This window comes from Homo sapiens, chromosome 3 (assembly GCF_000001405.40).
Source record: "Homo sapiens chromosome 3, GRCh38.p14 Primary Assembly".
Classification (NCBI taxonomy): domain Eukaryota; kingdom Metazoa; phylum Chordata; class Mammalia; order Primates; family Hominidae; genus Homo; species Homo sapiens.
Genome location: NC_000003.12, coordinates 136,330,170 through 136,353,717, shown reverse-complemented (window position 1 = coordinate 136,353,717; position 23,548 = coordinate 136,330,170). Strand labels below are relative to the sequence as shown.

Genomic DNA, 23,548 nt, shown 5'->3' with positions numbered 1-23,548 from the left:
GATAGCAACAGATTCTCTCAGGGGTGGCTTATGCCTGTAAACCCAGCATTTTGGGAGGCTGAAGCAGGAAGATTGCTTGAGCCCAGCAGTTTGAGGTTACAGTGAGCGATGTAAGATTCTCGTTTGATAGTTTTTTACTTTCAACACTTTGACCATGTGATCCCACTACCTTCTGGCCTCCATTGTGAGCCAGGTGATAAGAATTAATCATTAATTTTATTGGATTTTCTTTGTATGTAGTGAATTACTTTTCTCTTACTACTTTCATGATTTTGTTTTTATCCTTGGCTTTCAGCATTTTTCCTATGATGAATCCATGTGTGCATCTCTTTGCATTTATCCTGTTTGAAGTTCATTGAACTTTGTGGATGTGTAAATTATGTTTTTCATCAAATTGGGCAAGTTTTTAGCCATTATTTCTCCTAAATTTTTCTGCTTTTTCGTCTGCTACCTTGGTTACTCCCATTACACATATGTCAGTATATTTAATGGTATCCCATACTTCTCTCATGCTCTGTTCATTTTTCTTTATTCTTTTTTCTCTCTCTTCTTCAGATGGCATAACTTCTTGATATATCGTCAAATGTGGTGTTTCTTGCTTTTGTCAGCTCAAATCTACTGTCAAGCCACTATAGTAAATTTTTAATTTTGATTATACTTTCAACTGCAGAATTTCCACTTGGTTCTGTTTTAAAATTGATACTCTTTATTTCATGAGAGATATTGTCATCATACCCACTTTTAATTAGATATGATTTTCTTTAGTTCTTTGAACATACAGGTGCTCCTGGATTTAAGATGGGGTTACATCTAATAAACCCATCATAAGTTTAAAATATTGTAAGTCAAAAATGCATTTAATACACCTAATCTACCAAACATCACAGAATAATATAGCCTACCTTTAACACGCAGAATACTTACATTAGCCTATAGTTTGATAATATCATGTAACACAAAGCCTATTTTATAATGAAATGTCAAATATACTATGAAATTTGTTTAATACTATACTGAAAGTACAAAACAGAATGATTGTATAGGTACTCACCATTAAAGTACACAGCTAAAAGCACTATCATAAAGTAAAAAAAAATCATAAGTCAAAGCATTGTAAGTTGGGGACTTTGTATTTATAATCATTGCTTTGAAATCTTTGTGGGCCAAGGTGCTGTTGCTTGCTCTTTTATCAATGTATCCATCACATTTTCCTGTTTCTTTGTACGTCTCATAATTTTTTCTTAAAAACTGGACATTTGGCCAGGCGCTGTGGCTCACACCTATAATCCCAGCACTTTGGGAGGCCAAGGCGGACCGATCACTTGAGCTCACGAGTTCAAGACCAGCCTGGGCAACATGGCAAACCCTGTCTCTACACAAATACAAAAATTAGCTGGGCATGGTGATGCATGCCTGTAGTCCCAGCTACTCGGGAGGCTGAGGTGGGAAGATGGCTTGAGCCTGAGAGGCAGAGGTTGCAGTGAGCCAAGATTGTGCCACTGCACTCCAACCTCGGTGACAGAGTGAGACCTTATCTCAAAAAAATAAATAAATAAAAAGAACAAATATTGCAAAAATGATATCTTTTGAAATAATAATATAGCTACTCTTTACTAATTATCTGCCCCCTAGAGGTTGATATTATTTTCTCGTTGGTCATTTATTTGTTTAGTTACTTGGATGAACAAACTCCAAAATCTGTTTTCTCTGCCTTGTGCAGCCTCTGATGTCTTTGCTCAGATCTTTTTTCCTTTGTTTTTATCATTTGTCTTGGCTGCTGAGGAGGTCACCCCTGGGTTAGCATAAGCCACTTACTGATCAAAGGTTGCGCTTAAACCCCTTAGCCAGTTAGGTTTACCCTTTACTGTTGGATATGTGTATGGCTTGCAGGCTGCTTTCATAATTCAGGGTATTTACTTTTTTGACCCACATTTTAGGCCAGGGACTAGCAGCTTGGAAGATACCTCTCTGATTATTCCTGAGAAAGGCAGCCTTGGGTGTGCAGTCTTCAGACAACCAGGGAAGCATTACTATTTTATTTTTAAGCCTGGCTTCCTAGGAGTTGCTCCTAGGTGTAAGAATAGCTGTTAGTTCAGCCAGTGTTTGGTGAGAGGTTGTATTTAAACCACTTTTGCCAGTGAAGCTTCCTCCCTGTGTTGATAGATCCGTATGTGGCTTGGGGAATGCTTTCAAGTCTGCCTCATTCCCTTCCCTTTTTTTGCCCATGAGTGAATGCAGCTTAGGATATGTGCATAGCTTTCCCAACTCCCAGCACTTTTATTTTTTATTTTATTTTTTAAACCTGTTCCAAATATGCTTAATGGATAAACAGATAAACTCACAAAATTTGAAACCTATAAACAAAAGAAACTTTTAAGCATAGCAATTACTTAAGCAGATCAGTAACTATAAAATGTTATCCTTCTTTCATATAAGAAGAAATATGTGAAATGCCAAGTTAGCTCAGCAACCTATTAATAACCACCAAAGATTGGTGATAAAGCATTCTTCCAATGCTGTGATGAAAAAAAAAAAATAAGCACAGTGGAGGATTTGGTAGGCTACGTTCAAATGAATCAAAGGGAGCTAGTGAAATGAAGAATCACTTGTTTTTTAGTTAAAAACAAAGGGAAACAAATCCTTCCTTTTAAAAAATAATATATATTTAAGGTGTATATATATGATGTCTTGATATACATATATGTTGTAAGATGATGACAACAGTCAGTTAACAAATCCAACTCCCAGGATTGACTATGACTCCAGGAAGGTTCTTCTTGGCTGTCTCTTTCTCTGGTTTTCTCTGTTGAACTTCCGGCTGTTTTGCGCTGTCATTTGTTGCTGCTAGTGTCAGAGAACTACCAGCACCCTCTCATTTTCACTCCATCAGGATCTCTGTTGTCAACACCCTTAGGAAAGGAATTTTCTACATTTCATTCCAAATAAACAAAGTCATCACCACCACCTTCCTCCTCACTCCTCTCTCCAGCTGCAGTTTCTTCTTCATAGTCAGCCTCAGCCACCAGGGAGAACTTTAACTTTTATGCCACTGAAATGGGGAGGAGGGCAGAATTTGGATGGCATGGACCAGCATCCCTCTTCTCCCAGAATAACACCTCTGGCTCTTTGAGCAGGGGAGAGAGTAGGTAACCCCTGGTTCTCAGCTTGCCCCAGGTTTGGAATCTCTCGACAGGGAGTTTGAGGTGGGGCATTCAGGGTTCCAGTGTTCTCAGCCTGCTGTGCCCAGGGTAGTGTTTTACCCCAGGAGTGGAGACTTGGTGGGATAAAAGGAGCTTCATTTTTCCTGGTTGCTGTTCAGAATAGAACTTACACAACACAGGGCTGGGAGGTGATGAGAAATGCAAATGGTATGCTTCTTTCTTTCAGGGTAGCCTGGGAACTAGAGAGAGAGGGAACCCCCATCTTCTTGGCCACCTGCCTGGACTAGATAGAGTTTCTAAAATATAGAGCTGTAGTGGCAGGGAGAAGGAAACAAGGGAAGGGAACAGGTTGTGGATCAAATGCTACAAAACTTTTGCTGTTCTTGCTAAAATGTATTAGATTTTCTTTTTTTTTTTGAATGGAGTCTCCAGACTGTCACCCAGGCTGGAGTGCAGTGGCACGGTCTTGGCTTACTGCAACCTCCGCCTCCCGGGTTCAAGCGATTCTCCTGCCTCAGCCTCCTGAGTAGCTGGGATTACAGGTGCATGCCACCACGCCTGGCTAATTTTTTTTGTAGGGATAGGGTTGTGCCAGGTTGATCTCAAACTGCTGTCCTCAAGTGATCTGCCCACCTCGGCCTCCCAAAGTGCTGGGATTTACAGGCGTGAGCCACGGTGCCTGGCCAGATTTTCTTGAATAAATTTTTCTCCATTTGCTGTATGCCCTTAAGAGAATTGGCAAATACTTTAAATTACGGTATTTTATAATTTTTACTAGTTAAAATGTTGTTTTGCTGGAAAGAGGGCATGCCAGCCTCCTTACTCCACCATCTTAGAAATCCTGCTTTGGCTTGAACACTTTATAAGAAAACTCAATAATCTTTTTGAGCTAAACTTCTGATTTTTTTTTAACATTGGTGTTTAAAAGCAAAGGAAGAAATATAGGAAAGACCGTACATACATACACACCCTTAGGTAATACACTCACTTGCTTTAAAGTATCCCAAGAATAAGTGAAACAAAACCTTAACTCCTCAGTCCCTCTCTTTCCAAAGGTGACCACTGTTAATAGTTTAATGTGTGTCCTTAGGTATTCTTCAGAACCTGCAGAAAGAGAGCCTCAGATTAAGAAAAAGTAAGTGATGTATGAACTGCTTCTCTGAAAATCACTGCTGTTTCTATTGTGTTTCTAGTCATTCATACCTAGAGAAATTCCTTACCGAGCAGATGATGGAAAGGAGGGAGGATGTATGGCTTCCACTCATCTCCTATAGAAATTCATTAGTCACTGGGGGTGAAGATGATAGAATGTCTGTGAACAGTGGAAGTAGCAGCAGCAAAACCTCATCAGTAAGGAATAAGAAAGGACGACCTCCACTTCATAAAAAACGAGTAGAAGGTAAGTCTGCCTTTACACTATAAGAAACAATTTGCCTGGTTTTAAAGAGATAAAGTAGTAAATAATCTTTTGAAGCAAGATAATAGTATCAGGCACATGATTTTCTTGTATATTTTATTCACAATGAGATGTTAAGGCAAAAAGGTTGAAACAGATGAAGTAAGACAGAAAAGCATCAAGGAAAAAGAAGTTGAGGAAGCATGGAGCACAAAGGAAGACAGCCCAAAAGAGGAAAAAATTAGCTAGGTCTATAAAATCAATCCCCATACTATATGCCTCTAATACATTAAAATATAAAGTAAGATAGTCACAATGCTATTCTATTAAAATTCTTCCTAATATAGATGAGATACAGGTAATTTGAGGGTAGATTTCTGCAGCAAATTGAATATACCAGAATAGTTGTTTTCCAGTTCTACCACTTGGTTGGAACAGTAAGACAGTGATGGCCTCCAGGTGTGGTGGCTCACATCTGTAATCCCAGTTACTCAGGAGACCAAGGAAGGAGGATCAGGAAATTAAGGCCAGAAATTTGAGACCAGCCTGGGAAACATAGCAAGACTCCCATCTCTAAGAAAAAAAAAATTTTAAATGGGTGGCATGCACCTGTAGTCCCAGCTACTTGGGAAGCCGAGGTGGGAGAATCACTTGAGCCCAGAAGTTTGAGGTTGCAGTGAGCTATGATCATGCCACTGCACTCCAGCCTGGGCGACAGAGGAAGACTCCCATCATTTAATTTTTTAAAAAGGCAGTAATGGCTAAATCTGGTTTTATAACCCTCTTGGACTATGGGGAATGGGAAGTTAAATTGTCATGAAAATCTGATCAACAGTAGGTATTCCTATATGTTAAAAAAAAAAAAAAACCTAAAAATTGCTCTATTAAAACAAAGCATTCCTGTTAAAATTACTAAGAGAAGCCTCAAAGTAAAAATGCTTATTTTCTCAAATAATCTTCATCCTTCTTCATGCTTCTAATAAATTTTCTCCAAACCAAGAGGAGGTCTGTGATCTGAGCCTTCTCTCTTGTTCTTTTTATAACTTCTTATCTTTCAGCATCTTACCTGTGCTGCCTAAAAAAATGACTAATAAAGGTTTTGCTAAAATCTGTGGCAAAATTAATTAGAATTTAAATCTAATGATTCTTTTCATTATTGGGGAAACAGTATTGACTGTTGATGAGGAGTACAAATTCTAACATGAGAGTTCCAGAATTCAGACCTGGCCTTCTCATTATCAGCTATGCAACCTTTGAGCATATTACTTAACCTCTCTAAGTTTAAATCATTCATCAAATGAAGGATTAGCAGAGTATTTATCCTGTCAGTTCCCGTGAATATTAGATACTACAAATAAACTACTTAGTATACACACAGTACTGAGCACAGTGCTTGGCACATAGGTAGCATTCAATAAATTATCTGAACGTTATCATTGTATAGTAATGCCTCATATCTATCTAGCATCAGTCAGTAAATTAGGCAGCATCTGTATTCCTTTTCTTTTTTTAACCTTGCAGCTCCAGCTCAAAGCATCTATATTTCAAAAGGAATAAAAGAATTAATATAAATGTTACTGTTCAAGTTTAACAAAATCTCCACAAAGTTTAAGATTTCCTTTCAAATTACAGCTTTGGGACTTAAAGTCTTTTTTAAAAGTCCAGAGAAAGAAAATATAAAATCTTGTCTTTGTACTGTAGGATCCTGGACTTTTCTCTAAAGAATGACTACAGGCATTTCCTTTTTTTTTTTTTTTTTTTTTTTGAGACAGGATCTCCCTCTGTCACCCAGGCTGGAGTGCAGTGGTGTGATCTTGGTTCACTGCAACCTCAACCTCCCAGGTTCAAGCAATTCTCCTGCCTCAGCCTCCCAAGTAGCTGGGATTACAGGTGCCCACCGCCACGCCCAGCTAATTTTTGTATTTTTAGTAGAGATAGGGGTTCACCATGTTGGCCAGGCTGGTCTCGAACTCCTGACCTCAAGTAGGTCCACCCACCTTGGCTTCTCAAAGTGCTGGGATTATAGACATGAGCCACTGCACCTGGCCTTTTGTTTTTCTTTTCTTTTTTTTTTTTTTTAATGAGACAGGGTCTCACTCTGTCGCCCAGGCTGGGGTCTTGTCCAGCCTCAACCTCCCTGGCTCAAGCAATCCTCCCACCTCAGCCCCCAAGTAGCTGGGACTACAGGCATGTGCCACCACACCCAGCTAATTTTTGTATTTTTCGTAAAGACAGGGTTTCACCTTGTTGCCCAGGCTGGTCTTGAACTCCTGGACTCAAGCGATCCACATGCCTCAGTGTCCCAAAGTGCTAGGATTACAGGCATGAGCCATTGCGCCTAGCCATTCTTCAATGTAATATTCTTATTAGCCAACATTCATCAAATTTTTGCTAGGTACTAGGAATATGTTTTAACATGCGTTATATCATTTAATCATTTATTTGACATATTTATAAAGCACTTAAGTCAGTCTCTGGCACATAGCGAATGACGTATAAGTGTATAAATGTCTTATAAGTCAACACTGTTATCTAAATTTTTCACAAAAGAAACTAAAGCTTAGAGATTTTAACTATCCATAATGTTCATTAGTGGTACAGTCAATATTATTTTCAAGATTAAGAGAAGCTTGTGTGGAACCAGATAACCTAATTTGTTTAAATTAAAAAAAGAAAACTTTTTTGTCAATTTGAGATTTACAAAATGACTAAGATGGGTTGCATGCACAGAACCCTTAGGCTGCAGAGTTTCATCCTTCAGAGATGAAAATGAGAAAGTATTAAAAGAAATATTTTCATTGAGGAATCTTTAAAGGATTAGAAGTATCTATTTCTATTTAAGATGAGAGTTCTCCCTGGAGTTATCCATTCATTCAGTGAGTTTCTACCAAGCGCCTTCCTAAGAACTGTGCTAAGTACTACAGATTAAGTATTAATATGCTGTGAGTGCAGATAGAGAACAGAAACAGGCTGTTTGATTTCACCATGGTCAATGCTCTGATGTGCCAAACACAGGAGGTTGTGGGAACATATAGACAGTGACCAAACTTTTAATGAATACAGGAAGATTTTCTGGAAAAGATGACATGTAGTAGACAGCTGACAGACGAGTTTACCAGGTTCAGAACTTAAGTGATAATAATCTTTTTATCATAAAATTTTAAGTGTGGTAGAGAATAAAAGTTTTGAATTAAATGTTGAATGAAATGTGTTATGAATAGAAGATGATGAAATGTGTCTTTGTTAACTAAGAAGAGATTGAGTAGTGAGCTTCAGATCAGAGGAATTACTTTAACCAGACAATGGGTAGGTATTTCCAGGCACAGAAAAGCCCATCTAGAATGTACAGGTCTAAAAAAATATCAGAAACCTGAGAAATACGAGGAGAAACAGGATGCTCGATGGCAAAAGAGGAACCTAACACACACATCTCTGAGACTTGAGAGGAAAAGCAACAGGATTCATACTATGTATTGGGATTAAAATTCTTCAGAAGGAAAACCAAAGCAGTAATACTTTTTAAGAAGCCTTATCATATTAGAATAATTTAGAATTTTTATAGGTAGAAACTTGGCCGGGCATAGTAGCTTATGCCTTTAATTTCTGCACTTTGGGAGATGGGTGGATCGCTTGAGCTCAGGAGTTTGAGATCAGCCTAGGCAACATAGCAAAACCCCATCTCAAAAAAAAAAAAAAAAAAAAAAACAACTAGGTAATATTTTATCAGGACAGTTTGTAAATAATGCTTTAATCTGCTCAAATCTTTATAAACCATCTTAGCTGGTGGCTTACACCTGTAATCCCAGCATTCTGGGAGGCTGAGGTGGGCTGCTCACTTGAGGTCAGGAGTTCCATTTCAGCCTGGCCAACATGGTGAAACCCATCTCTACTAAAAATACAAAAATTAGCTGGACATGATGGCAGATGCCTGTAATCCCAGCTACTTGGGAGGCTGAGGCAGGAGAATCACTTGAACTTAGGAGGCGGAGGTTGAAGTGAGCCAAGATCGTGCCACTGTACTACAGCCTGCGACAGAGTGAGACGCTGTCTCAAAAAATATATATATATTTATAAACCATTTTCATAAGTTCTGAAAGAAAAACAGTTCGTAGCCCCTGGAAAACTTAAGTTTTACAGAGATAATTTATATACATGACAAATTACGTAACCTGCTAATGCAGTATAGTGTATAATTAAGTCCTAAGTGAGTATGAATGACTGTATTTCCTCTAGAAATTAAAAGAGAAGCCTGGGCGTGGTGGCTCATGCCTATAATCTCAGCACTTTGAGAGGCCGAGGTGGGCGGATCACCTGAGGTCAGGAGTTCGAGACCAGACTGGCCAACATAATGATACCCCGTCTCTCCTAAAAATATAAAAATGAGCTGGGCGTGGTGGCGGGCACCTGTAATCCCAGCTACTCGAGACACTGAGTCAGGAGAATCGCTTGAACCTGGGAGGCGGAGGTTGCAGTGAGCCGAGATCACGCCACTGCACTCCAGCCCGGGCGACAGAGTGAGACTCCGTCTTGAAAAAAAAGTTTAAACAAAGAATGGTAAGTGGGGGGTTGGGTAGGGGTAATCAGGGAAGGCTTCCCTGAAGTACAGAGGCATGAAAATGGTGAACCTTTCAACCCATCTCCACATGTATAACCTGGCAAGAAGTTACTGACCAGTGTCTAGTTGTGCAAGGGGATTTGCTTATTTCTCCACAAAAGCCAGTCAGACTTTAATTGCTACTGCCTGGGACCCCTACGAGGCCCAGGAAATAGGCCCTTTATTGCTTGAACAAAGAAAAGAGGAGAGGTCTCTGGCTGGCTGCAATCTTCCCCTTCTAGGATGAATGAATCTTTAGAGATGGAGGGACTTAAAGAGATGATGATGTGATGATAGCTAACATTCAGTGGTTACATACATTACCTCATTTAGTCCCTACAACTTCGTGAGGTTAGGTAATGCATCCCCATTGTATGTATGAGAAAACTCAACTTTGGAAGTTTAATGACTTACACAAAGTCATGTAAGTAAGTGGTGGAACTGAGATTTAAAGTGGGCAGTCTGACTGCAGAGCCACACTCTTCACAAGTCTATGCTATGACTGCTACCAGAGTTCACTCCACCCACGACATTGTGTGACCTTAACTGGAATTTTACAGATGAGAGTCTGGATAACACATGGCTAAACAGGACTGACACCATGATTCAGACTCCTGGCCCCCTGCCAGCACCACAACTCACATCCACTGTACTGCGGGAGAACAGTCGGCCCATGGGAGACCAGATTCAAGAACCTGAGTCTGAACATGGTTCTGAACCAGACTTTTTACACAAGTAAGTAGCAAAAATTTGTCTTTTTCACAAAAAGCCTTTAAAGAAAGTAAAACTATTTAAGAAAAACTTTATTTGTTCATCAGAACATATTGCTGGTCAGTTCATGATAAGCCACAAACGGAGGGTAAACACTTCATGTGAGAAGAGCTATAAAAAGTCTGTAAACATTGTTGAAGATACCAGTTCCTGGAAGTTTACAGACCTTTAAATGTACGGTGTCTCACCAGGTGCTAATTTCAGTTGGCATGTGCATTTTCATTGGGCAGGTCTGTTTCTTCTCAGGGACTTACCAAGAAATGCAGGTTACTTCCTAGGCAAGAAAACCTGTAAGAGCCTATATTAAGTTGTCAGTAGTCTGGACACCAAATAAATAGACTGTATTTAGCTTTATCATCCATTTAATTAATATTTTGTCTTGTTACATTTTAAACTCAAACTTCTCATGGATTAAGAATTTTTAAGATCTTACTTGATAAATTCTGAGAATAGTTGCCCTCAAAGAGAAAATCAAGGTCTTACCTTTCCTCCATGCTAGTAATTAAAATGTTTTCTAGTACACAGACCTCTGAAAATTGTAGAGAAGGCAGAGGGTGATGGCGTGTTTTGCTTATAAAAATCTTATTGTTGTTTTCCATCCAACTTTGAAATTCTTTGAGCTCCTCACTTGTGTTTCTGTGTATAGTTGGGTAATGCTGTGAATTACTCTGATGGATAAGAGGGAGAACTCTCATTTGAACTCAACAAATTTAGTTAGGTTGAAAATAGAGACAGTGTTAGAAGTATCAAATCCTGGGTTTTCATGATCCCTTTGCTCTAAGGGATCAGCCTTCAAACCCAAGAGGATACTCACTGTCACCCATGGTATAACTGGGCATTCTTGTGCTGCCAAGTATCCTAGAAGGTGGTTTGCCTTATGGCAAGCATCCGAAGATGGGTGACCTAACCAATATCCCCACCCCTCTTCCTACAGGGTGGGTTTCTCCTTGTTTTAGCAGCCTGCCTTGCCCCTCTGACCCTACCATTTGTCATTCCCTGTGGCCATGGTCTGCCTTCTTTTCCCTGCTCCAGGTTTATAGGTTTAATCAAGGTGGTGGCCCCACATGATATAAAGACAGCTACTTAGAGACAACTTCATGTGACAGTTTGTATTGGCTAAAAAACCACTAAAGTTTACATCCTATAAATGTATGGGTATGGTGGCACACGCCTGTGATCCCAACTATTCAGGAGGCTAAGGAATGAGAATTGCTTGAACTCGGGAGGCAGAGGTTGCAGTGAGCCAAAATCGCGCCACTGCACTCCAGCCTGGGTGACACAGACTCTGTCTCAACACCACCACCACAAAATTAGCCAGGTGTGGTGGCGCATGCCTGTGATCCCAGCTACTCGGAAGGCTGAGGTGAGAGCAGCACTGGAGCCTGGGAGGCAGAGGTTGTAGTGAGCTGAGATCATGCCACTGCACTCCAGCCTGGGTGACAAGAGTGAGAACCTGTCTTAAAAAAAAAAAATTCCTGGCTGGGCGCGGTGGCTCATGCCTGTAATCCCAGCACTTTGGGAGGCCGAGGCAAGTGGATCACAAGGTCAGGAGATCGAGACCATCCTAACTAACATGGTGAAACCCCATGTCTACTAAAAATACAAAAAATTAGCTGGGTGTGGTGGTGCACGCCTGTAGTCCCAGCTACTCGGGAGGCTGAGACAGAAGAATCCCTTGAACCAGGGAGGCGGAGGTTGCAGTGAGCCAAGATTGTGCCACTGCACTCCAGCCTGGATGACAGAGCAAGACTCCATCTCAAAAAAAAAAAAAAATTCCTTAGAGGCATGTTTACACACACTTCCATGTGCCAATAAGTTTAGAGTACAAGTGCAGATTTGACTCCATAAAGACTGAGGAAAAGATGCTATATTCTTCCTTGTTGAATTCTGGAGAACTTTCAGCTGCCAAGCCAACATAATTTCTGTTAGTTGGGGATCTGCTGTCCAGCTAGGTACACCTGTGAGTGCGGCACCAGCCCAAAACAGAGGTCTGAGAACCCTTGTTTGGCAGAGATTTGGTTGATAGTTTAAGCATCTAACAATTAGCCTCAGCCAGCTTCTCTTGGAGACTTACAGATATCTTTGGGCAACTTATTGCCTTTTTTATAAAAAGGCACCAGAATAAATCCAGCTAATTCCTCCAACATGGGATTAAGTAAACCTACCTTGGCTTTCTTAGCTTGGGGCTCATTAGCTAAATTCATCATCTGCTGCTACAAAATTAATAATAGTACCCTCTCTTAGTCCTCAGATGCAGATCTCTTGGTTAGGCCAGCCGAAGTTAGAAGACTTAAATCGGAAGGACAGAACAGGAATGAACTACATGAAAGTGAGAACTGGAGTGAGGCATGCTGTGTAAGTGTTACATGGAGTATCACAAGAACATAACAACTATGTGATGCCCATCATTTTGTGAAATGACTTGGGTTTCTTTGATGTTTGGTCTTAGGAGTTAAAATTATAATTCGTGATATGCTATGCAGCATAGGAAAGGAGGGTGTGAGTTCTTAACACTTTCAGCATTTAAATCCTAGCTCTGCCACTTGGCAGCTGCATGGCCTTGGACAAGCTCTAAAACATCTGTGCTGGCTAGGCGCGGTGGCTCCGCCTGTAATCCCAGCACTTTGGGAGGCCGAGGCGGGCGGATCACTTGAGGTCAGGAGTTCAAGACCAGCCTGGCCAACATCGTGAAACCCCGTCTCTACTAAAAATACAAAAAATTAGCCGGGCATGGTGGTGGGCGCCTATAATCCCAGCTACTCAGGAGGGTGAGGCAGGAGAATCGCTTAAATCCAGGAGGCGGAGGTTGTAGTGAGTCAAGATCACGCCACTGCACTCCAGCCTGAGCGACAGAGCAAGACGCCGTCTCAAAAAAATCTGTGCTTCAGGTTCCTCATTTGTAAAATTGGGATAATACTACCAATAAGATTTTTAGGGTAATTGACACATAAATAAATGTTAACAACCGTTATTATTGAATTGTACTTCCTTTTGATATGTGAGATGAAATCTTGAATGAACCAAAGGAATGATTCTTAATTGTCTTGGAATTCAGTCTAATTTGTGTAGTCTGTAGGTCATGATTAGAAGGTATACTTCACTTGGTTAGAATAACTTTAATCTGAGAAACAGCCAGGACTCCAAATGGTGGAGTCTGATGAGCTTTCTGACAATACCTTTTTCTTACCAGTCGGGGTCTAATGGAGGAAGATGCTGAGCCCATCTTTGAAGATGTGATGATGTCATCCCGAAGCCAGTTAGAAGATATGAATGAAGAATTTGAGGACACCATGGTTATTGATCTGGTAGAGAAATTCACTATATTTTTCTTTTGTTAAAATATGTGGGGGCATTGGTGTAAGATGATCCTCTTAGGCCGGGCATGGTGGCTCACACCTGTAATCCCAGCACTTTGGGAGGCTGAGGTGGGTGGATCACCTGAGGTCGGGAGTTCGAAACCAGCCTGACCAATATGGAGAAACCCCGTCTCTACTAAAAATACAAAATTAGCCAGGCGTGGTGGCACGTGCCCGTAATCCCAGCTACTTGGGAGGCTGAGGTTGTAGTGAGCCAAGATCGTGCCATTGCAATCTAGCCTGGACAACAAGAGCGAAACTCCATCTCAGAAAAACAAAAAAAAATTATCCTCTTATTCTCAGAATTCTGGGAGGAAGGGTGAGGTGAGGAGGAGGTGACACTGATCAACAACAGTGGGCATTTGGATGAGCTTGGGTGTTCTTCAAGCCTCCTTTCAAAGCAGTCATATTTTAAATTCTGATAATAACAGAAACTGGTTCTTTCTTTTTACCTTCTTTGAAGAGAGCTCATACCAGATCTTTCAGCGTCACTGTGTATCTGGCCTCTTGTGCTTTAAATTTGAGCCTGACAAAAATCCACGGTGCTTCAGCATAACAAAATGCCGAATATGGGACTTCTTTGTTCAGTATGAGAAGACATGTTTGAGATATGGACTTAACCATAGGTGATACTAAGAACTTATTTCTTCAGGAATAGTAATGCATGGTGTTTATGTTTTTTTCAAAAGTTCTCATCAGTTATAGACAACACATTGTAGTAGTTATAGGCAGAATTACATAGGGAAGGAAAAACAGTGAGACTCAGTGGAACAAGACTGGCCAAATGTTTGACAATTTTTGAAACTGGGTGATGGGTACATAGAAATTAATCATGCTGCTTTTTCTGTGTATTTTCTAAGGCTGCCATAATAAATACCACAGACTGAGTGGGTAAACAAATTTTTATTTATTTATTTAGAGATGGAGTCTCGCTCTGTTGCCAGGCTGTAGTGCAATGCTGCAATCTCGGCTCACTGCAACCTCTGCCTCCCAGGTTCAAGCGATTCTCCTGCCTCAGCCTCCCAAATAGCTGGCACTATAGGCACATGCCACCATACCCAGTTAATTTTTATATTTTTAGTAGAGACGGGGTTTCACCATGTTGGCCAGGATGGTCTTGATCTCTTGACCTCGTGATCCGCCCACCTGGGATTACAGGTGTGAGCGACCATGCCTGGCCCAGAAATTTATTTTTTTTATCACATTTCTGGAAGCTAGAAGTCCTGAGATGAAGGTGATTTCTTTTGAGGCTTCTCTCCTTGGCTTGTAGATGGCTGCCTTCTTCCTTTGTCTTTAGATGGTCTTTCCTATATGTGTCTCTCCTCTTCTTATCAGGGCCCCAACTATATTCAATTAGGGCCCACCCATATGACCTCATTTTACCTTAATTACCTCTTTAAAGGCCCTGTCGCCAAATACTGGCATGTTCTGAGGTACTGGATTAGGACTTCAGCATCATGCACATTTTGAAGGGACATAATTCAGCCCGTAACATTTTGCTTTGTATGTTGTGAATTTTCCATAATGAAAAGTTTTTGTAAGTTTTGTAAATATAAATGAGATCATATTACTCCAATCTATAATCTCCCTGCCCCCACCTTCCAATAACTTTCCATCTACCTGCTTTGGGGAATTCACAGAGGTTTATCACCTAGTAGTTAATGAATTCTGTAATTTTTCTGTGACTTTAAAGGGAAGATATGGCCTGGGCATGTAGGCCCAAAGTTATTTATATGTATTAACATGTTGTTTATTCATGATAGTTTGAAAGTTTTGTGCCTTGTTTTTGCCAACATAATTAAAAGCCAAAAGTACTGTTTGTTTTTAAAAAATCTATTTCATATAAAAGCCAGATTCTCTTCTTCCTTTCAAAATTGACTCTTAGCAGTTCCATATATTTATGATACTGTCAGAAATATTAGCTGATTATCACAATTCATTGTCTTAATGATCTCAGAAAAAAATTAAGAAACCGATTTCTCTTTCCAGCCTCCATCAAGAAATCGGCGAGAGAGAGCTGAGCTAAGGCCAGACTTCTTTGACTCTGCAGCTATCATAGAAGATGATTCAGTAAATGTCAAATTATTACTGCTTTTTATTTATGGTTCCTGGGTCCTGTTTATGCATGAAATTAATAATTATGTTTCTCATCATTTTTCTAGGGATTTGGAATGCCTATGTTCTGAAGTCTGAAGAAAATTTACAAATCTGGAACTCTATTATTTAGAGCTAGAGGCCTATATACTGTGATAGCTTGTATGGGGAAAAACACTTTTGATGTGATCTGATTTGTTTTTTAATCAAATGATTAAGGTCAATCCCTTTTTGCAGTGACAGAAGAGGAGCATGTAAATTACCCAAGGGAATGTTGGTGAATGTCAACTCAGAAAGACTGACCTGAAAATCATTTGTGTCCTACTATTGGACTTATCCCAATACAGATGTGTGTGTTTTTCTGGAGGGAGGAAGAAATTTTAAATTTTTAAAACAGCTGTCAAGATAAACACTGTTATACACCTGTTTTATGAAAACTCAACATTGAGTAAAAAAAAACATATTTTTAACTTTATTTTCCTGTTGTACAATTTAAAAACCGTTTTAACATTTTGCCTTTTTATGTTTTAAAAGCTAACCATTTTTATTAAACCTATGAGTAAGCAGCTCATCCTAATTGCGAAGAGTGTTTTGGAGTTCACTGGATTTGGTTGACCTTTGTGGAACACAAATAATGAAGGAGCAGAACATTGACAAGCTAAGATGAAATTCTGACATAGTACATCTCTGCCAAAAACCACACACCCTCTGTGGATATGGATATGAATTCCCAGATTTTATATACTCTTGAATAAAAGGTTTATTTTTATTTATAAGTGGGCATAAAATAAGAAATGTCCATGCAGCCATTTTTCCAACAGATGCTGTACACCGTTCATTTTATATAGACTAGGGAGATTCAAATACAGTGCATTTTCTATTGGTATTTGTTCTGTGCATTTTTAGCAACTTCTACCAGCAAATAAAGTATTCTCAGTAAAACGAAAATGATTCTCAAGTTATCAGTTTGCTGTTTTTACCACTTATTTCATGCCCTGCCAAATTCAAGTTACACAGACTTCCATTTTCTTAAGATAATCAATCATGAAGAAATCCTTTATCAATCATTCAAAAGTAATTTTAAGTGTAACATAACTGTGTTTACTTCCCATGCACTTAATACCCTTATGCGCTAATTTTGTGAATTAAGTTTACTGATTATAGAAGTATGTGCTGCATAGAAGTCTGTGCTTAGAGGGTGAAGTTCCTAAGCTTACCTTGAATTACAGCTACATTTCAGTGTTAAATGTGCATATTAAGAATAATTCTTTTGGGGAAAGAAATTATGAATCTTCAGGACAGTCTACAATGGTTTAGAGTTACATTCTGCCTAGACTTTTATGACTTGCTGCTATTGTTTTAAAAACCCCACTTAGTCTCTCTCTTCCTTTCTGATTTCTAAAGTAAGCCTCAGAATTTCCAAACCAATTCATCCACAGCTGTTTCTGGGCTGGTTTTTAAAGTAGCTGCAACAGAATCATGAGGCTTTCCCTTTTTATCAAATACGAAAAACATTTTTTAAAATTCTGCACACCCAGTGATCATCTTTTGTGCGGGAAAGCAAGATGATGATGGATGATTTTATTCATCCTTTTAGTAAAGACACAAAACATTTTTCTCAACATTTGTACAGTTCTGAAAAAAACCTGGTCACCAAAAATATCTTCTCTGCTAATTCAGCAATTCTTGGGCTCCAGTTAGGGGAGCTGGGGCCTCACTTTCTCCCAGAATTGTGGGCTTCACTGGAAGTGAAGGTGCAGGAATGACTGGACTGTCCACCCCAGCCCTGCCTGCCTGTGGTTTTGGCCAGGGAGCAAGCCATGAGGTGCCCTGGCACATGCACAAATTGATCCTTTGCGTGACAGTCTTGTATGGAAAACAGATGCTGACAGAATTGTAGACTACCATGCCACACAAAAAGGCTAAATATCTACTCCAATGGGTTTCCAGTTCAGTTTGAAGTCAATCAAATTTTTGTATTTTCGGTGTCTCCTTGATTGGTTTTGCTAGTAATTCTGTAAATTGTACATTTGCAATATGAGGTTTTTTTTCCTTTTGTACAATTTGAAACTGATGCTTCACCTTTCCTTTAATAAACTATTCAAAATCAGGCTTGTGGTAGTCATCCTATTGTTTCTACCAGGTATGGCTTTAAAGAGATGATTTTCTGTCCTGTGGCTCTTGAGAGAGTTTGCAATTTCTGATAATCTGTTAAATGGCAGCAAGTTAACCTTATTAGTGAGTTGGTGGTTTTGTTGTTTTGGCTTTTTAATTTTTTTTAAGAAAGCAGAATTTAGGAATAGCTCACTTTCTTTCATTCCTTAGATTTCTCTGGAGTGTGTGTAGGCCAAGTCATCTGTGGTTTAAGAGGGAGTCTCTTGCAAACTGAGTTTTGCATGAGGCATTCAGGGAACACCCATCCACTGGCCTGTAGCATGGGTCCTCACGGCTTGAGACTCTGGGCTTACATGCATAATTGCACCCTGGCAGTGCCCTTTTGAAGACCACATAGAGTCAATGCAGCTACAGAAATGAAGTTTTCAGCCAGGCATGGTGGCTCACGCCTGTAATCCCAGCACTTTGGAAGGCCAAGGTGAGTGGATCACTTGAGCTCAAGAGTTCGAGACCAGCCTGGGTAGCATGGTAAAACTCCTCTACAAAAAATACAAAAATTAGCTGCGTATGATGGCGCACACCAGCTACTCGTGAGGCTAAGGTAGGAGGATGGCTTGAGCCCACAAGGTGGAGGTTGTTGCAGTGAGCCAAGATTGCACCACTACTGCACTCCAATCTAGGTAACAGAGCCAGACTGTCTTAAAAAGTTTCTCTTGGCATTAGACCTCCTCACTCTTTCTTTAAGAAGTCATACCCTACACACTTCATGGGTCTGGCAATAGGGGGTGAGTTCCTTAAATGGCCTAATATGCCTATGCAAAAAAGGCAAAGGTGTGGGAGACAAATCAGCAAGCAAGCTTTCCAGACAGCCAAGGAAGGAAGGTCATTTAAGGATGGTCTGTAACAGCTCATCTAGATGGTTACAAGAGTATGAGACTAGATGAGCACTTTCAGGCTTGGGTCAGGCTTGCAAATCTCCCATTTGTGGCTTGACTGTAACTCCCTGTTTGCCCCTGTTCCCAGGTAACAGTCCATCAAGCAGGGACTAGTATATTCATGGGAAACAAAGGTTTGATGCCACTCAGGCTTGCCTTTTTTTTTTCGGGGGGGGGGGGGGGGCGGTAAGTGAAGACAGGGTCTCGGTCTGTCACCCAGGCTGGAGTACAATGGTGTGATCTCAGCTCACAGCAACCTCCGCCTCTGGGGTTCAAGAGATTCTCCTGCCTCAGGCTCTCAAGTAGCTGGAATTACAGGCACCCACCACCACGCCCAGCTAAGTTTTGTATTTTTAGTAGAGACAGGCTTTCACCATGTTGCCCAGGCCGGTCATGAACTGAGCTCAAGCAATCCACCTGCCTTGGCCTCCCAAAGTGCTGGGATTACAGGGCATGGGCCATCGCACCCAGCCTTAGGCTTTTCATACTAGACCAAGCTCAGGTAAGATTCTATCCCTGCCCTTCTGAGTGTCTTGTTCTGTGGAGATCTCCATCAGGCACCACTTTTTGAAGAGCATCTTTCTGCTCCCAAGGACACATAAAGGGAGTATTTTCACCACCCAGGACAGTAGGGACATGGTCAAAACTTAACTAACTATTGAGGCTGCCACATTGGCTGGAATATGCCAGCTGGATTCCACAGAGGCCCCAGACTGAGGCACTGCCTATCAAGTGGCTGCAACTCCTGCTTGGAATTGTAGAAATCCCATGCTGACATCAGAGGTGCACAGAGTATGAGGACCAATACTTCTAAAAGGGTAAAGTCATAGCTCTCCAGAAATCCTTTGGAACCAGAAAGACAAAACAGTCACATCTGTTGAATAGGTGAAGAGGGCTGATTCATCAACTCCACATGTGGGTGAGTATCCTTCACAGACTTCTTTGGCTGAGCAGACCACATCTTAAGCACCAGCACCAGGACAAAGTATCAGTGCAACCAGAGGCAGAAAGTTGGGCTGGGGAGACCAAGACAGGGTCAAAAAAAGAAGCTAGAAGAACTTTGCAACAAAAGCACTTTCTAACAAGCATTAGAAGGGTGTATTGTGGATGTGCTCCCCATTACTCTAGCAACTCAAAAAGATGACTGGCCATCTGTTGGTACTGCTTTGCAAGAGAATCATGCGGGAGATAGGAAAGCTGTCTAAATGTAGTAGCTTTCTGGGTTAAGACAAGCCCAGGGGAACAGACCACCAACCTCCCTCACCCCTACTCTTAGGCCAACCCTTAGAAGTCCATCTCACCTTCCTCATCAGCTGAGTGGTAGTACTTTGAAATGATCAGAACACAGGCTTGGCTGGGGTCAAACCCATCTGAGTTCAAATCCCAGCTTCACCACTTGTCAGCTGTGTAGCTCAGGAGGAACTGGATTAACACAAGGCGGGGCAGGACCAGCAAGACCCTAGCAGTGCTTCCTACACCACAGCTCACCATATTATCTGCTCTCAGTTTAAAGACAGACACTTGTCAGCTATCAGCTCAGTGGACCCAAGTATTTCCCATTTACAAAATTCAGTGTATTTTCTTTTTCCCTTTAAGGTGAGGGCACCAGCTGGGGAAGGCATTCCCACACAAGAGAACACTCAACTGTCATTACTCTCAAGGTATTCCGTGGTCCATGGAGGCTGGTCCACTTGACAAAGCTTCCAAGGTCTTGTGGCTTTGAGTTTCTTTGACCAGCTGAGTTTCTGTACGGGAGTTTCCCCACCATCCAAGGCTTCCGTAAAGCTGCTAGCCCAGCTGCTCTCCTGAGCTGGTTCCTCTACCATCTTACAGCCCCTCTACCATCTCGGTGTCCAGACTGCACAACCTGGTGAAACACTTCTTGGACTCTTACCTCCAAAAAGAAAAAAAAGAGCTTGTATGTACTCTTTTATGGACCATAGCAGAGATCACGAAAACAAGAACTGTGGGCTCAGAAAACTCACTAGGCAAGCAAGGGAGGGACAGACTGTCCAGGACCACCTACGTGGGCTAAGGACTCTGGAGAACAGGGAGCTCTGGAAGTGGCGCTGGAGCAGAGGAATGCAACAAAATCTGGATCTGGAGTTAGTATGGTAGCTGAGAACAGGACTTCCAGCTCAGTGGGAGGCCACAGAGATCAGTGAAGAGACTGCTGCAAAAGTCCTCAGAGCCCAACTAGGATTGGTGACTGAAGGAGAGTGGAAAGATGCTTTAAGAAAAAAAAAAAAAAAAAAAAAAAAAGAATGACTCTTAAGGGCTACTGGGAATGGGGGGTAGGGGAAAATATTTTTGAAATGGGAAAAGTGGAGAATAAACAGTCACACATTAAGTTGACCTTGAAATAATGATTCACTGTCCAAGCAGTGCTTACAGATCTCTGGAGCCAAGGGAAAGCCATCAGTAGTGGGAGGGCCCTGGGGTTTCACCAGAGAGGATGCCTGAGGTGGGGGGGCATCTTGGATCAGCACTCCATGGTTGGTACTTCTGCTCAAACTTAATCTCCAGTTCGGTAAAACTATTAATGTTTTAACTTAGTAAAATCAAGTCAACAGTGTAGGAGGAAAGGCTTTAAAGTGGTTTACAAACAAAAAGGACTAATTCATATTGATAACCACTCAGTTACTAATTGAGGTAGCTTAACCATGTATCTTCAGTTTAAAGACAAAATGAACTACAAAGAAGTCGTGAACTTTAGAAGGTTTATTGTTGATAGAGCTGTAGTGATTCTGAAACTTGTATTTATGGTAGCACTGAGCAAATGAGTGAAATATATTGAGAATAATGGGAGCCAGGGTTATTACTGCTGTGGTAAGAGAGACAATACAGAATGGGGGAAGGCAAAGAAGCACCCATGGTGTTGGATTAAAAGTTTCAGTATGAACTCATGATTTAAAAGTATGATAAATATGTATTCATATATACATGTGTCCCACATATATATACACACACTTATTTGCATAAATTTTCCTAGTTCTGTCTGCTGAAATGCCTCAAAGCAATGATATCCAGTATCAGTGTGAATACCTAGTGCCAATTTTAGCTTCTAAATGACATACCTACTAAAAGAAACTAAGAAACTACTATATACTACTACTACATACCTATTAAAGAAACTCCTTGGAGAAACTGCTGATTCCTGGGCTGGGCAAGGAAAATACAAGATAAGCCTAGAGCATTATCTTGTCAGAAAATAACGAAATACTAAAAAAATCAGTGGGATATATTAAAAGCACTTTGGGAGGCTGAGGCGGGCAGATCACGAAATCAAGAGATCGAGACCATCCTGGCCAATATGGTGAAACCCCGTCTCTACTAAAAATACAAAAATTAGCTGGGCATGGTGGCACACACCTGTAGTCCCAGCTACTCGGGAGGCTGAGGCAGGAGAATTGCTTGAACCTGGGAGGCAGAGGTTGCAGTGAGTCGAGATTGCGCCACCGCACTCCAGCCTGGCGACAGAGCGAGACTCCTTCTCAAAAAATAAATAAATAAAATAAAATAAATCAAGTCCAAAATGATACTAAGAAAACAAAAACAGGAGAAAAGAAAGCTCCCTTCCTTACCTAGAGTTCCAACTAATAAATATGAGAGAGTTAGAAACTCAACATTTTATAATCAATGCAGAATCATTGATTGAGGCAAAAATCATCAATGAATACTAAAATTATTGGGTGAAAGTTTATTTATTTAATTTTCTGAGACAGAATCTAGCTTTGTCACCCAGGCTGGAGCACAGTGGTGTGATCTCGGCTCACTGCAACCTCCGCCTCCCAGGTTCAAGCGATTCTCCTGCCTCAGCCTCCTGAGTAGCTGGGCATGTGCCTCCACATCCGGCTAATTTTTGTATTTTTAGTAGAGATGGGGTTTCACCATGTTGGCCAGGATGGTCTCAAACTCCTGACCTAAGGTGATCTGCCCACTTTGGCCTCCCAAAGTGCTGGGATTACAGGCATGAGCCACTGCGCCTGGCCCAGGTGAAAGTTTATTGACAGACAAGATTAAATAATACCCCACAAATTAGTTATCAGTTACAAAGAGAAAATGGTAACTACCATGGAAAAACCTTTGCAGCCACGACCTTAACCATGTGATCAGAATCAGTTACCAACAGGAGGAAAAACTGACATAATGTGCTTACTAATGTGACGCACTGAAAGGAATATGTGTTAGTCTTATCTGAATCTAAACCTCAGGAAACAGACATCCCAAACTGAAGGACACTCTACCAAATAACCAGCAAGTAAGCTCTCCTCAAAAATGTCAACGTCATGAACGACAGACTATGTAAGACAAAGGACCTTGTTCCTAGGAGATACAAGTTTCTAGGAACACAGGGTCACGAATCTGCAACTGACTTTCAAAGGGGTCAATTAAATAATTATATTGTATATGTTATACAATTATATAATTATATAATGTATAAATACATAATATAAATATATAAATATATATAATCATGTTAGATATAATTATACATTAATTATATTAATAATATAATTAGATATATCTTATATGCATATTATATATTATTAGATATATCTACGTATGGAAGAAATAAAGCAAATGGAGAAAATGTTACCAACTGGAGAATCTAGGTGAAGTGGATACAATACACTTCTTGCAACATTTCTATCGGCTTGAAAATTTTCGCAATTAAAAAGTTTTTTTTTAATTTTAAGAACACATTTCTGGAAATAACCTGAGTCAACATAGGGTGCTATGCCTTATTGAGCATCTGTACTGCTAAACACATATACCACAATTGCAAACATCACATTTAATCCTCAATTCATGGAGGAATTAGGAGATAGATAGGGCATATTACCCTATTTTTAAAATAAGGAAACTTAAGCCTAAGAAATACTTTGCCTTAAAAACTTACTATATATCTCACCTATGGATAAAAAAACTAACTCGAGAGGAAAAAGAACAATACCCAGAGGTGTGAAATAAAAATCAGCTCTAGATGATAACACTGTGTACTATTTTTCTTTCTAGTTGTATTGATTTTTCAGATTTCCACCTAAAAAAATCGAATTTATGCTCAAAAAATACAACTTAAAATGTTTAAAAAAGTAAATAATTTTACAGTAAGGCACAAAAGA

The 23,548-nt window shown here is 40.4% G+C and overlaps 1 protein-coding gene across 7 annotated transcripts in view; it reads left to right on the top strand.

Annotated features, from left to right (window-relative positions):
• Positions 1–17,482, top strand: part of STAG1 (STAG1 cohesin complex component) — a 416,143-nt gene extending 398,661 nt beyond the window's left edge. For all 7 annotated transcript variants that reach the window (NM_005862.3, XM_047447229.1, XM_047447228.1 and 4 more), the window contains 6 exons: positions 4,355–4,560; positions 9,712–9,886; positions 12,167–12,277; positions 13,113–13,227; positions 15,268–15,348; positions 15,441–17,482. In NM_005862.3, the coding sequence (NP_005853.2) occupies positions 4,355–4,560; positions 9,712–9,886; positions 12,167–12,277; positions 13,113–13,227; positions 15,268–15,348; positions 15,441–15,464 (712 nt within the window). In that variant the 3' untranslated portion in view covers positions 15,465–17,482. The remainder of the gene's footprint in view (positions 1–4,354; positions 4,561–9,711; positions 9,887–12,166; positions 12,278–13,112; positions 13,228–15,267; positions 15,349–15,440) is intronic.